We start from the raw sequence: 15,741 nt of genomic DNA, 5'->3' as shown, positions 1-15,741 counted from the left end.
TCTTGTCCTTGAGATACAAACGTGGCTTCCCTCGGCCCAGCTCGTCCTTTATGGATTCCTGCACTTGCCCACAGTCCTCTGCCTAGCCAGGGCGAGGCGGGTGAACCTCGGCTTCTCCTTGCTCATCTCTCACCCTTTCATCATGCGGGCGAACAGAGCCTTCCTTAAAGGCCATGAAACATCCTAGAAGAACAGGCCATTGTGTGTTATCAATGGAGGCTTCAGAAACCTCTGGGTCAGGGTTTATAAAAAAAATTTTTAATAGGGAGGTGGGGAGTTTCTGTCTCAATCAGACAATGAGGACATTATTTAAGAGAGAGATCACAATCAAATCTGAGACACTGCTTACAGCTTTATCCTCCTCTCTGCTGTACGTTGAGCACTCATCCTCTGCGGATCCCAAACATTGGAAAAGGGAAGGAAAAATAAAAGTGAAAAGTAAATTCTATTCCCACAAAGTAGATTTTACTTTTAAATATGCTCTTTATCTTCATTTTTCACACACACACGCAAATAACGCAGGTAAGTTTTTGATATAACTACGCTCTCAGAATACCTCTTACATGAAATTAATTATAGGAGTCGGGGCGCCAGGGGAGGGGGAGGGGAAAAGGGGAGACCGTGCAAACGGCGTGGCCGCCATCTCGTTTATGCGCCAGCTTCGCGCGTGCTGCGTTCTCCGAGACTCCCGCTTCCCCCCTCACCTCCGCGGTGCCTGAGCCTATGCAGTGCCCGACTCCGCAGGAGCGCCAGGGCGGCTCCTGCTCTTCCTGGACTCCCTGAAGAGGCGTTTGTCGAAATGTCCACAGAAGGAGGATTTGGTGGTACTAGCCGCAGTGATGCCCAGCAAAGCCTAAAGTCCTTCTGGCTTCGGGTCATGGAAGAAATCTGGAATTTAGCAGTGAAAGATTTCTGAATGCAGGAACTCCCACTGGCTCGTATTAAGAAGATTATGAAACTGGATGAAGATGTGAAGATGATCAGTGCAGAGGCCCCTGTGCTCTTTGCCAGGGCAGCCCAGATTTTTTATCACAGAGTTGACTCTTCGAGCCTGGATTCACACAGAGGATAACAACTGCCGGACTTATGTCGCCATGGCAATTACGAAATTTGATCAATTGGATTTTCTCATCGATATTGTTCTAAGAGATGAACTGAAACCTCCAAAGTGTCAGGAGGAGGTGCTGCAGTCTGTAACTCCTGCTGAGCCAGTCCAATACTATTTCACGCTGGCTCAGCAGCCCACCGCCCGTCCAAGTCCAGGGACAGCAGCAAGGCCAGACCACCGCCAGCTCCATGACCACCATGCAGCCTGGGCAGATCATCATCGCACAGCTTCAGCAGGGCCAGACCACGCCCGTGACGACGCAGGTTGGAGAAGGTCAGCAGGTGCAGATTGTCCAGGCCCAGCCACAGGGTCAAGCCCAGTAGGCCCAGAGTGGTACTGGATGGACCGTGCAGGTGATGTAGCAGATCCTCACTAACACAGGAGAGATCCAGCAGATCCCGGTGCAGCTGAAGGCTGGCCAGCTGCAGTGTATCCGCTTAGCCCAGTCTGTATCAGGCACCCACGTTCTGCAGGGACAGATCCAGACACTTGCCACCAGCGCTCAACCGATTACACAGACAGAGGTCCAGCAAAGACAGCAGTAGTTCAGCCAGTTCACAGATGGACAGCAGCTCTACCAGATCCAGCAAGTATCCATACCTGCGGGCCAGGACCTGCCCAGCCCATGTTTTTCCAGTCAGTCAACCAGCCCTCTGATGGGCAGGCCCCCCGGGTGACTGGCGGCTGAGGGCCGGAGCTGGCAAGGCCGAGGACACTCAACACAATTTTTGCCGTACAGCCCCAGGTCATGAACACAGCCTTCTTCCCCAGAGGACCCGGCCGACCTCAGCTCCTCCTGCAGGCTAGGACAATGGCGCACTAGGCCTCATGCCTGGGGGCCGAGATTCTCCAACAGAAAGATGCAATATTTTTTGTTTCCTTTTTTCTCCAAGGAATCAATATTTCAATATGTTGAGCTGTGTGTCCAATGCTATGAAATTAAAATATTAAATCACATATTTGTGGCATTTTCTTGAAGAGTGTGGCTGAAGAAATATTTCTCCTTTTGTTTGTTTTGTTTTGTTTTGTTTCTCACCGCCACTTCTTTTTAGAAGCAAATCTCCCCGTGGGTGTACGATATTTCTTGACCCTTGGAACAGCTGCTGCCCCCAAGATTTGCCATGTTGTTCTACCCTCAGATTGAATTAGGTCAATATGTGTAGCTGCGTTTTCACTAGTGGTCCTCTCCCCATCCCTTGCTCTTACCCCAAAGCTCTGTGTATTTGCATCCAGAGGCCATGGAAATATTCCTTGCATTTAAGAGACAGATTTATTCCCCATGGAGAGTGGGTGGGTTCATTGCCACACTCTTTTCTCCCAGGGACCCAGGACACTAGGACTTTATGTGTTTGCTGCCCTCCTCCCTTTTATTTTTTAAATGCATTAAAAACTGTGCTAGTCCCCTTTCCATGGCCTTCAAACTGCGTGAAATGCAATAAATCTATTTTAGATTAAAAAAATAAATTAATAAGACCTTATCTTACTCAAAAGTTAGCCCTTAGATTTACTAACACAATAAGAGTTGCAAAATAGACATATGGTTTCAGAAACATGCATGTAACTGATTGTTTTTGATTATAAAATTTCTTACTTCCTTAATGATAGGAGTGGAAATGTGGATTTAGCTATCCTGTGGATAGCCACTGCAAAGATGAATTTAGCCCACGGTTTGATGATTGGACTATATTCCTTTCTTTATTCATCTGAACATTTCAACCAGATGGAAGCACTGTGCTAGGTGTTGGGGACAAAATGATGACTAGGCCTATCCCGGCTTTGAGAGTTTCACAGTTAATAATTTCTAAATAATGAAGTAAAGACAAAGAAAGAGAAATCACAGGGCCCCATGAGAGAAAGAGAAGAACATAAAACTTAGCTTGAATGTGAAGAAACGTCAGGAAGGAAGGGATATCCAAGCCGCGTTTTAAAAATCAGCAGAATTTCCAGAAGGTGAATGGAGGGTAAGAGAGTGGGGGCTGAGAAGGTGAGCAAGAGGGAAGATGGAGAGGAAGAGCAAGAATGAGAGCAGGGATATGGCTTGAAAAGGACCTCAAAATGCTGGGTGTTCCTCAAGCACTGCATTAGAGGCCAGCCTGAGAGGGACGTGTGGGGCTGTTGTGCACGTCACGTTTGTTGTCTGTGCTGCATCTTCTCCCCCTTATTCTAGTAATGGCATCTTGGTTTTCTTTGGGGGAATTACTTCTGCTCTAACTTTTTTATGGTTGGGGATAGGGCTCTACCTAACTCAGGGCTCCAAAGATGAGCACATGACCAATGGCTGGCTGCTCAGAACATCCCATCATTTTTGATACTACTAATGGGTTCAACAAGAGGCAAACACTCAATGGATTACAGAGAATGAGTAACACTAGCTGTTGTAACAGTCTCTAAATCTCAATGGCTGGTTTCCCCCTCACAAAAACAAACAAACAAAACATTGTGCACGCTCCTGATCAGGTGGTTCTTCAGTATGGCTTCCTCCAAGTGGTGACTCAGGGATCTAGGCTCATTTCAACTAATGGCGCTGTCACCTGCTGAATGTTCTATGCCCAGACAATGAGTGAAGAAGTGAATGTGGAGTGGGTCCAGGTCTGGAGGAGATGGTCTTTATTTTTACTTACATTTCCCTACCTGGCACTGTGCACATGACCAGACCTAGATGCGAGGAACCTGGGGAATGTGCTTAGCTGTGTGCTCGGGAGGAAAAGGAAACAGTTTGGGGAGCACATTCTATTGAGTGACTCTTCCACACTCAAGTGGGGCTAATAAGAGCCAATGAGCCCAAGTCTTGGGGTCATTCTTTCCTGAAATAAATGGAAAAAGAGTTTTAGGGAGGCAGAGGTGATAAGGAAAAAGTCTGGTGATGTGGTAGAACCATGTCTGGTGCTTTGGTGAGCTTCTGCGCACCGAGTGAGAAGAACTCACCCAAGAAAGAAAGGAACATGAAAAAAAAAGCTAAGAGAAAAAGAGGGTCCAGGGTAAGGCAGGCAAGATGCCTACAGTGCAAATTTAAGAAGGCAAGCCTGTGTACATGGGCTCTGTCTCTCAGGGCCCTGCTAGAGCAGAGTCAGTACTTGCATGACCTGCTGCCTGAAATCTTGCACCCCAGGCACAAAGATTGCCCAGACCTCACCCTGAGACAGAGAAAATCTTGGCAGTATTATTTGAACTCCTGGATCCAGCTGAAACCAGTCCCATGCGCTGGAATTTTCAGCCACATGAACCAATAAACATACTTTTAAGCTAAAGCTTTTTAAGTTAGGTTTTTGTGCCTTGCTACCAACAGAATTCTGATAAATATGCATTAGTACCATAGAGAACCTGTGAAACGTTTTAAGCAGAAGAGTAGCAGAGAGGGGCCAACATAGTTAACCCAATCTACGTGTAGCACATCCTGCCATTCTCACCGAAAACGGGCACTCATCTCACCTCCATGAAGGTTTTTCTCCGCATAAACAGTGTTAATCTTGCCATCAGGATTCGCAACTAAACGCAAATTCAAAAGCTTTCTCTAAATCAAAATAGCCTTTATAAGACTGTATTTGATGCTTTTGACTTTCCTGCTTTTAGCTGAAAGTTTTTGAAGCTGGTACTGCAAGCAAAGGCCTTTCTGTAGCTTTTCTGGCCCCTCCAGGACCAATAAAAACTTAAAATCTTGCAGCAGGAAAATATGCTCCAAGTTAGCACTGAGTCTTAAGGAAGTGAGTAAGTGAAACGAGTGTTTGCTTTTTGGGATTGAATTTGATGCTGGGTAAGAACCAGAAAGTATACATAGTGTATTTGGGGCACTGCCAATGTTAATCCCATAGGTGGCCCCAGTGGGGCAGTGGTGAACGCTACCTTGGAGTCCAGAAATTGAAATAGAATCCACTGTCACTGTAAACTATTTCCTGAGACAGTGATTGTCATTACCAACATTCCCTCTTCTGCTGTTTGTGAATCTCAAGGTTTAGATCAAAGTAACACTGGCAGCAATGGATATAAATAGCACAGTGGGCCATTTTACAGCCACTCTGTGGCCACACAGGGGCTAACTAGGGAGTGGGTAGGCAGGGAATGGTGATGTAATGACTCTCGACTATTACGCAGATCAATTTCTTTTTACACTGAACAGATATGCCCTAGAATATTATGATACACGCTGCCTTCTTATTATCAAATACCAACGTGTTTCTTTCTGTCAATGGTTTCGTAATTTGCAAGAGAGAGAAAGCAGACATTTCCCTTGAAGCTGTTCCTCCTGATAAGTATCCCAGATCATCTCAGGAATTTCCATTTGTCTTATCTTTTCAGCAATACTGCCAGGAAAAATGTCAGACTTTTCATTTAAAGAAGCCAGAAGGTATTTGAGTTCATATAAAAGATGAGCAACATTTTGGTGGGTTTTTCTTTTTTTAATCTCGCCATTAATTTCAGTTGTAGACTGTCCTATAAGTTAAATGGTAATTTTCCTTCAATCTTTTTATTTGGCCACCAAGTAATCTCTGAATAGATTTGAGAATGAACATTAGGAGGCTTGGATCTCCTGTCTTAGGGAAAATCCCTTAAGGGGTCTATTTCTCACGTGCTCCTGCAGTCAAACAGAAATAAAGCCATGTGACATTGTTGCCTGACAGTTTTATTTAAAGGTGAGTCTTCTTAAATTGACATTAACATATATCTTCATATTAGTCCACCTTCATACTGCTGTGAAGAAATACCCGAGACTGGGTTATTTAAAAAGAAAATGAAGTTTAATGGATTCACAGTTCCACATGGCTGAGGAGGCCTCACAATCACGGTGGAAGGCAAAGGAGGAGCAAAGGCATGTCTTACATGGTGGCAGGCAAGAAAGCATGTGGAGGGGAACTGCCCTTTATAAAACCATCAGACCTCATGAGACTTATTTACTGTCATGGGAACAACATGGGAAAAACTTGCCCTCATAATTCAATTACCTCCTACCAGGCCCCTCCCATGACACCTGGGGATTATGGGAGCTACAATTCAAGATGAGATTTGGGTGGGGACACAGTCAAACCATATCAATCTTCTACCCTAAAAATTGCCTATTATAGATTTCCCTTCTTCTTAGACTGTTCCATGAGACTTTTGGAGCTGAGCCACTCTCTCCTTTTAAGAGGAGTCTTTTTGTTCACCAACGTAGATCCAAAAGCTTTTTGCTTTGCATTATTTTTAATCATTATAATTCACCTGGGGATCCCTTGAAATGCTTTAATGAAGACATAATGAGCAGTTATATGCTTAAAAACACTGAACTAGAAGTCTATGCTAAACATAAGGCTCTCTTGTCATTAGTCTAGGTATTTACCTCAGCTTATCTCTTCTTTATTTTACCCAAAATACTACTTGTTCTAATGGAGTCTATCTGCATTCTAGAATCAGAAAGAATTCCTTCTCCTTGACTGCAGTGATCAGGGCTTGGAAGAGCAGACTAGCAAGGATAATGAGCCCATTTTGGGATGCTGTCAAGTAGCGTTCCTTCACACAAATCCCTAACTATTTTGCAAGGTGATTTGGAAAAGAGGTGTTTACCCCATTTGGAATGGCTTTCTTTCTTTTTTTAAACTATCGATATTTTATTTTATTATTTTTTTACTTCTACCTTTTAAGTGCATGTGCAGGTTTGTTATACAGGTAAATGTGTGCCGTGGTGGTTTGCTGCACAGATCATCTCATCACCCAGGTATTAAGCCTAGCATCCACTAGCTATTCTTCCTGATGCTCTCTCTCCTTCCACCCACCCTGCCCTCCGACAGGCCCCAGTGTGTGTTGTTTCCCCCCATGTGTCTATGTGTTCTCATCATTTAGCTTCCACTTATAAGTGAGAACATGCAATATTTGATTTTCTGTTCCTGTGTTAGTTTGCTAAGGATCATGTCCTCCAGCTCCATCCATGTTCTTGCAAAGGACATGATCTCATTCCTTTTTATGGCTGCATAGTATTCCATGGTGCGTATGTACCACATTTGCTTTATCCAGTCTATCACTGATGGACATTTAGGTTGATTCCATGTCTTTGCTATTGTGAATAGTGCTGCAATGAATGTACATGTGCATGTGCCTTTCTGACAGAATGATTTATATTTTGGTGGGTATGTACCCAGTAATGAGATTGCTGAGTTGAATGGTATTTCTGCCTCTAGGTCTTTCAGGAATTCCCATACTGTCTTCCACAGTGGTTGAACTAATTTACCATCCCACCAGCAGTGTAAAAGCATTCCTTTTTCTCCACAACCTCGCCAGTACCTGGTTTTTTTTTTTTTTTGACTCTTTAATATTAATAATGGCCATGCAATGGCTTTCTTCTTTCCTTTGGATTATTTAAAGCCCTCTTGTCTCTTCATATAAGACAGAATTCTAGACTCCTGTCAATCATTCATTCACTGATTTATCAAATATTTATGAAGCTCCTACTATGGGCCATGCCCTATTCTAGGCACGTGGGAAACATTGTTGAACAAAATCAATTAAGTCATCAGCCCTCCTGATGCTTATATTCCTGCTTTGAGTCCACATGGGTCTTGCTTTCTCTGAAATACTCCAACATTCACTGCTGAAAGGAACTGGATTCTTACCTATATACCCTGATGGCTGGTGTCCTAATTGTTTCACAAGTTAGACTTACAGGGTTGTGTTAAACGAACAGGCTTTGGAATCCACTGGCCTGTGTCACATCTCACCTTGATGAGGCACTAGCTTGAGCAAAGACCAGAACTCTCTAGGCCTCATTGTCCTCATTTGGAGGTGGCACAAACAAAACCACCTAGTTCACAGAGATCTGTGAGGATCGTATGAGAGTTCCACACACTGTACTTAGCCCTGTGGCGCACTGAAGTATGCATTTCATATTATTATTTTGTCTTGAATGTGAAACTACGGACTCAAGCAGTCAAGAAATACCTTTAAAATTGCTTCAAACTGACCTCATCCTCCTTCACTGGGCAGGCTAGAAAATTATTTTGAGTCACTCCTGTGACTTCTCCTTCTCTCTATATTTTTAAAAAATCTGAGAAGCTTGTGTTTGGCATTCAGAGGCAGAAAAGGGTCTGTGATTTCCAGACACAAAAGGGTCTGTGTGGCAGATCTCTGCTTTTGGGCCATGCATGAGGCCAAATCTTCAGTGCTTGGGCTCCAGCCTCCCTAGGAGCCCAGTGCCACCACATTACCTCAGAGGCTCTGCAAACTCACTAGGGTGCTTCCAGAGACATGCCTATAGGTCCCTGTTTTGCCAACAACTTTGGAACTTTACCCACTTCCTGGTCTGGGGTAAGCCGGTGCTTCCATCTTTTTGCCCTGAAAGATAAGACTCCTTATAGTCCTTTGTATCAAGGACATCCAGAAAATTTCAATCCATCCAGGCTTTCACAAAGGCAAGAAGAGTTGAATTACCAACCTTAAAAAGCTTCAGGTTCCTACCATAGCACAAACCTCCCTGATGCAAAAGAGTTTACAGGTAGGAAGAGACCTGGAAACAGGCAGGCCAGGGGAGGAAGACTATACTCTACAGACACAATATCCTTTATAAAAATGGATATCTCCATACAATTTCCTACAACATGGAAATATTCTCTGCAGTTGGGACCATGTCTTGTGCTGTTGTGATATTGCTTACATCACCTGACAGACATAGCCATGAACACAGTGAATAGATTTGAAATGCTGGCACAAGGCCTACTCAGTGCATGGGGAGGTCAGGTTGAAATAGTTGAAATGGATGTGACTTACTTCCAGGATTTTGATTTACGAGTCATAGATCCAGGAAACCTCCATGTCCCGCAGTTCACTCCAGATGGCATTCCCTGAAAGGTGTCTGTCTTGGATCTTGTTCATGAAGGGGGAGTTACTAACAAGAGCCAGGAGGACCAGTTCATTTCACAATAAGGTCCTTGTCACCTGGACTCTGAGGCTATTGTTAGCTCTATGTCTTTCTCCCTTTTACTTTTATGCAAATGTTATAAATAAACTATAATACTCATCTTGTGAGGTGCCCAGTTCCATTTCCTGATCCTTGGGACACACAGTGCCAACTCTGATGGTAGCATAGTTCCTATGCTCTTTCAAACTCAGCAGTCATAATTGTTTGTTTCTCTTTGAACAATTTGCATTCAGTCTTAATAGAAAGGTGTCAGACTTTATTTCGGAGAACCATCCAGGAAAAAGCAGAAACACACTCAGAAATATTTGTTCAGAGACAATGGAAAAGCAAAATACATATTATTAAGGGTCTGATGTTTATCAAATGACTTCTCCTTCGGCAAATTATGAAGTGCACAGACTTAAGATCCATTTATGTTTTTCTTTTTCTTTTCCTTTTCCTTTTTTTTTTTTTAAGGCGGAGTTGCGCTCTTGTTGCCCAGACTGGAGTGCAATGGCATGATCTTGGCTCACTGCAACCTCTGCCTCCTGGGTTCAAGTGATTCTCCTGTCTCAGCCTCCTGAGTAGCTGGGATTATAGGTGCTGCCACCACGCCTGGCTAATTTTTCGTATTTTTAGTAGAAACCGGGTTTCACCATGTTGGCCAGGCTGGTCTCAAAGAGCTGACCTCAGGTGATCCACCTGCCTAGGCCTCCCAAAGTGCAGGAATTACAGGCATCAGCCACCGTGCCCAGCCCTGTTTAGGTTTTGAAGTGAATATTTTGGAGAAAAACACATGGAGGAATAAAATTCATTTTGATTATCACTGCAGTGGTAAAGAGCACAGACTCTGTGAGCAGATGGCCATGTTCGAATCCCAGCTCCTGCACTCATTATCCCTGTGACCCTGGGAGAGTTACTTAGCTTCTCCAGGACCCCCCACTTCCTCACACATCAAAATATATATAACAACAGATTTGCAATGAGTATTGTAGGGGTGCTGGCACCCCACTCAACCCCCCTTGGCATGCCTTCTCCCTGTGAACACTTATGTCTTCTTACCCCAGGCTCCCTACCTGTCTTTGCAGGGACTTCCTGGCCACCAAGTCATATTCAACACATGAGTGAGGCAGACCGGAGTGCTAGGAAGTCATGGCCCATGGGAGCAGGACTTCTCACCAACAAAACAAGAAGTGGGTAAGTAAGTGCTGCAGCCTTCTGGACCCTGTGGGGAGCTGGGGGGCAGCACTGAGGCTCTACATCCTCTCTCAGAGGTTCCCAATGGAATGGAGGCCTGGCTGCCCACAGCAGGAACTGTTCATGAACGCACCCTGTACTGGCTTCTATCCCTCCGCACTCTCACCTCTCCAACCTTGCTAGCACTCCTTGGAATCACCTCCCAAGCAAAATTCTGGTCCCTGGGAAACACAATCTAAAACAACTATAGAGTAACATAATGTTATAAAATGCTCTGCACTTTTCACTAAGTCACAGTAAGTATTAGGTAAATATTGGTCAAATGAAAAAAAAAGGCAAAGTATAAGTTATTTTTACCAGCCTGAGATAGTCAAAACATAGGATAACATGCTTTACTGGCTTGGATTTGATGGGAAATCCTGGACCAAGAAAAAGTAATATTTAAGAAAAAGAGTATCTGGTGACATAAGATTAATAATACTTTATTTATTTATTTATTTATTTAGAGACAGGGTCTCTGTCACCCAGGCTGGAGTGCAGTGGCGCCATCTCAGCTCACTGTAGCCTCTGCCTCCTAGGCTCAAGCAATCTTCCTACCTCAGCCTCCCCAGTAGCTAGGACCAAAGGTGTGTGTCACCACGCCTGGCTAATTTTTGTATTTTTAGTAGAGACAGGGTTTTGCCATGTTGCCCAGGCTGGTCTCAAACTCCTGAGCTCAAGTGATCCACCCGCCTTGGCCTCCCAAAGTGCTGGGATTACAGGTGTGAGCCACTGCGCTTGGCCAACTACCATTTTTTTTTTTTGAGTGCCTACTATGTGCAGAACAAAAACTTTAGCAAAGATTATTGGTGAGCCTTAAAATTTTACCTCCAATTTGCCAAATTTCCTAACATTTACATATACACATACAAATTTATACACCCACGTACATACATCTATCTGCATACACACAGCACCCACACTCACGCCATGCTACTCACGCATACACAGACATATTTATGTACATTCATCAATGAGCAATGACTGGAAAGGCCATGGCCAAGGGCAGGATAAATTTCTGTAATAGGCAAGACTGATATTGGGCTGGTATGGTGGAGCCCTAACCTGTATTTAAATACTGCAGTACCCCCACACTGGTTGGTAAGTAATCACTGCCCTTTACATTCAACTATTGCAATACTTACCAACATTTCGTGAGCAGAAAGTGTAATAGTAAATTTTCAGTGTGGAAGTGCTCCAGTCCTAAGTGCAGAAATAATTGGCTTAGATATTCAATTAGAGCAGATTTGTTAGCATTGTCATCATAAAATTCATTTTCAATTGAGCAGCACGATTTTATAAAGTGACCAAGCAACTCTCCATCAAAAGTGGCAATTTTTGTTAAGCATGAGGTCCGATGATCCTAAATGGGAAATATAGTCATAATAATATAATAAAATAAAACAAAATATTTAAAACTACCTTGAAATTGCTAACATTATTTTATGCCCATGTGTTCATGAGTTCCCCATGTATGCATAAGTCAAAATTTAAGAAATATTTAATATAGAACAAACCATGAAAGTATATTTATACAATTAAATTAAACATTAAATAAATCCAAATTAATTAAATCAACTTGATTTAGTTTGAGCAAAATGCCCTCTATTACAGTATTTTTGTTAATTTGAATTTAATTAGCTTTGTAGTTTCATTTGTATTTGATGTGCGAATATGTTTTGAGTTTACAGTTGCATAAGCTTTGCAACTACAGAGGTCACACTTAGGTTTAGGTTTTTACATATTTAAGTGACATTCTAATAAAAATGATTTTTGTCAGGACCAGGGTTCCAGAGCATTTTTCTCCCCTTATAAAGATTTAGTGTCCACTGACTCAAGTTTGGCACTTGCTCAGTGTCTGGGGTGAACCGGCTAACTTTTCTGCGCCTACGTTCCCTCATCTCTAAAACAAAGATGTTCTCTGCTCACCACCCTGCACCCCCGACAACAACAAAACAGACTTTCTGTGGTGTCCCCAAAGCTCCAGCCCTGCTCCTGTCTGGAAAGGTCATGTGGTAAAAGTAACTTGTGTTCTTTTTCCCTTGCCCCTTCGCTGGGGAGACAGGTCGTCTTTATCAGCATTGTGTTTTGTTTGTTTTTGCTTTTAATCTGTGAGCGTTTTTTAAAAAACGAAGTCAGATAATTAATAATAATGTAATCTGTATTTCAAAATTTCTGAGACGATAGATTTTGAACGTTCCCACTAGCTTGAGTTCATCATTCTGTATTGTATACATATTTCAACCACCACATTGTACCCTCTAAATATATACAATTGTTGTTTGTCAATTAAAAAAAAAAGAGTCAGATCTTTAGAATCCCAGAAATGAGCTTCTCACTCAGGCTTGGCTATATCATTTTTGGGGCCCAGTATAAAGTAAAATTGTGGGGGTCCCTGTGCAGAAAGCAGGGAGCAGTGTTAGGAATTAAAATATCAAGCATTTCTCCCCCCATTCCACTCCCTCTTGATCTGCTGTGGTGTTTTATAGTTCCTATTTAGTGTCGCTGCCTGCAGGGCCAGTGCAGACCCTCACAAGCCCACAGAGGCCTTCAAAGCATGAGCGTGTGCATTGGCTGCCATGATCCCCCTCACTTCCCTGGATCAACTTCCCCTGACCCAGGCAGATGGATGACCCCCTAGGTATTGTCACCCCTGTAACATGCAGTCAAGGCAGATGAGAGGCTTACCTCCACCAAGTCACCCCGCCAATGCATCATGATGCTGCTGCCTTGAGACACCTGAAAATCCCAGTGCCTGTGCCTAGGCCCCGACCAGGGCCAGTTGCTGGGTGCGGGCAGGGAGGAGGAGGAGGCCGAGCAGGACCCAGAACTCCAGAGAGTAGGAAGGCCAAGAACATGTCCCGAAGAGGACCCTGTGTAAACCAAATCTCCAAGCCCTCAGCCTCAGTGCCTGCTTCCCTGTCTCATCAAATTTTATTTACAAAACACAAAGCCAAAGATGATATGATTAAGAATATCAAGATGACAACCACAGAATACTAAATTCTAAGGACAACCCTCTTGAGGGCAGGACCCTGTGCAATTGTTCTGGCCTCAGGCCCATGTTCCTGTTTCAAGTTAAGGTAGCCAATAGGCATGCTTATTGTGATGGTCATTTTCCTAATGTGAGGTCTCTCCCTCTAATGACTACGCAGAAATCAGAAAATTCATTGCATGCAACAAAAGGTGTACATCTGAATGGGAGAAAATAGATGGGCTCAAGGAGAGCTATAGGTGGCAGAGCCTAACTCCTAAATGGAGCACCTCAGGGCCCTCCATCACCAGGAAACACCAGGCACACTGATGAATGTGCTAATTGCAGGTCTGGGTGGGCAGTGCATGGAGAGGCAGAGTTGGTGTGGGCTGCGTGGGATGTGGTGCAGGGAGGGTAGGCTTTCCTTCTGCTACACACACAACAGCAGTGTGGCTTGCACAGGAGCTGTCACCCTCCTGACAGCCAGGATTTCCCTTGATGTACCCATCTACGCTGGGCTCTGAATTCATTTTGGTTGTTTTGTTTCCTGCAGGCATTCCGTGGCCAAATGTAAGATGAGAGGTTGAGAATTTCCCAAAATATTCAATTCTGTTTATAACATCTGACTCCTAAAAAGAAAGCCAAATAAGCTGGTGTTATCAACCACCCAACAAGTCAAATTCCTTTTTTTTTTTTTTTTTTTTTTTTTTAAGACAGAGTCTGGGTCTGTCGCCAGGCTGGAGTGTAGTGGTGTGATGTCAGCTCACTGCAACCTCCGCCTCCTGGGTTCAAGCGATTCTCCTGCCTCAGCCTCCCGAGTAGCTGGAACTACAGGTGCATGCTACCATGCCTGGCTAATTTTTGTATTTTTAGTAGGGACAAGGTTTCACCATGCTGGCCAGGCTGGTCTCGAAATCCTGACCTCGTGATCCATCCACCTTGGCCTCCCAAAGAGCTAGGATTACAGGCGTGATCCACAGTGCCTGGCCTCAAATTCCATTTTAATCCAGAATCTTTTCCTATAGTTAAAATTGCATAACTCCAGGACCTAATGCCTGCACAGGGTACACACCCAATAAATATTTGTTGAATGAATGGCTGAGTTATATGGTTTGGCTGTGGTCCCAACCAAATCTTACCTCAAATTGCAATAATCCCCATGTTTCAAGGGTGGGGCCAGGTGGACATAATTGAATCATGGAGGCAGTTTCTCCCATATTGTTTTTGTCATAGTGAATAAGTCTCATGAGATCTGATGGTTATATAAATGGGAGTTCCCCTGCACACTCTTTCTTGCCTGCTGCCATGTAAGATGTGACTTCGCTCCTCATTTGCCTTCTGCCATGATTGTGAGGCCTCCCCAGCCATATGGAACTGTGCATCCATTAAACCTCTTTCCTTTATAAATTACCCATTCTTGGGTAAGTCTTTATTAGCAGCGTGAGAACAGACCAATACACTGAGTAAACGAATGCATTGATTTGGAGTTTTCGTCTTCGCGTTGACACAATTTTTACCCCCTTACAATAACTAGAAAAGGTAGACAGAACAAGTGTTATTTTCCCATTTTACATATGAGGAAATTGAGATTTGGAAGGATTAAGTACCTTGCTCAAAATTACTCAAAGTTATTGGGCTTCCTGTGCTCAAATGTAGGGCTTTTCTGCTGCTACAGGGTACACAACAAAATTCCACCCTGATGGCTGCGCCACCTGCCCTACTTTGCTCACAAGCCACATTTATGGTTATCTTTTAAGTTTTGTCTTACAAATTTTGTCTTTTAAGTTTTATCCCTTTGGTGAACCAGGGCAGACAAATTGCATTTTTGTGGACTCTGTGTTTCATTGGCTAGAGGTGATGATGAGCTATCAACAGTAAAATGCTTTAAGGAAATCATCATCACCATTATCACACACACACACACAAACACTTTTAAGAGACATACTTAGCTGTGGAAGTATCTCTCCATGTTCTTTTGGTACAGAAAACATCCTGTTTTCCAGGGATACACACTTCAGGAGATGGAGGAGTGGACAATCATGCTTAAGTACTTAAATTCTAGGGCTCAATTTGCCAGAATTCCTGTTCTGAACTTTATTCCATATTCCATGAATGACCTTAAGATGTTATTTAGTCTCTCTTGACCTCAGTCTCTCACATGTAAAGTTGAGATCATAAAAATAGAAAACTTGGAAGGGTGTTGTGAGATGGGCTGGTAAAGTGCTTACAGAGTCCCTAACACGTGGCGAGAGAATAACAGGTGTTCTCTTGTTTCTAGGGCAGGCAGAGACTGCATCAAGGAAGGATGAGGCCAAAGCACTCAGACATAGATTTGTTGTGAAGAATTCCCCTTACATATACATCATTGCACATCTCTGTGCATGTCGTCAGATTAAATCCCACTGTCCAGCTGGCTAAAAAATAAATTAAACATATTAACCCAATTAAATAAAGGTACGAACTTCCGTATTTGCAAGTGCATCTCAATACTTCTCTATTTTGTATAAGATTCAGCCATAGGGCACGGAATTTGCCCCTAAATCTCAAAACATTAGTCATTTTGTG

The 15,741-nt window shown here is 43.5% G+C and overlaps 1 pseudogene across 1 annotated transcript; it reads left to right on the top strand.

Annotated features, from left to right (window-relative positions):
* Nucleotides 1-725: 725 nt before the first annotated feature.
* NFYCP2 (NFYC pseudogene 2) lies at nt 726-2,065 on the top strand (annotated as a pseudogene). Its single transcript, NR_036691.1, has one exon. The product of NR_036691.1 is annotated as an NFYC pseudogene 2 (transcript).
* The last annotated feature ends 13,676 nt before the right edge of the window (nt 2,066-15,741 follow it).

The sequence above is a fragment of the Homo sapiens genome, chromosome 9, assembly GCF_000001405.40.
Source record: "Homo sapiens chromosome 9, GRCh38.p14 Primary Assembly".
Classification (NCBI taxonomy): domain Eukaryota; kingdom Metazoa; phylum Chordata; class Mammalia; order Primates; family Hominidae; genus Homo; species Homo sapiens.
Note: the sequence above shows the minus strand (reverse complement) of the source record. Positions and strands in the feature narration are given on the sequence as shown.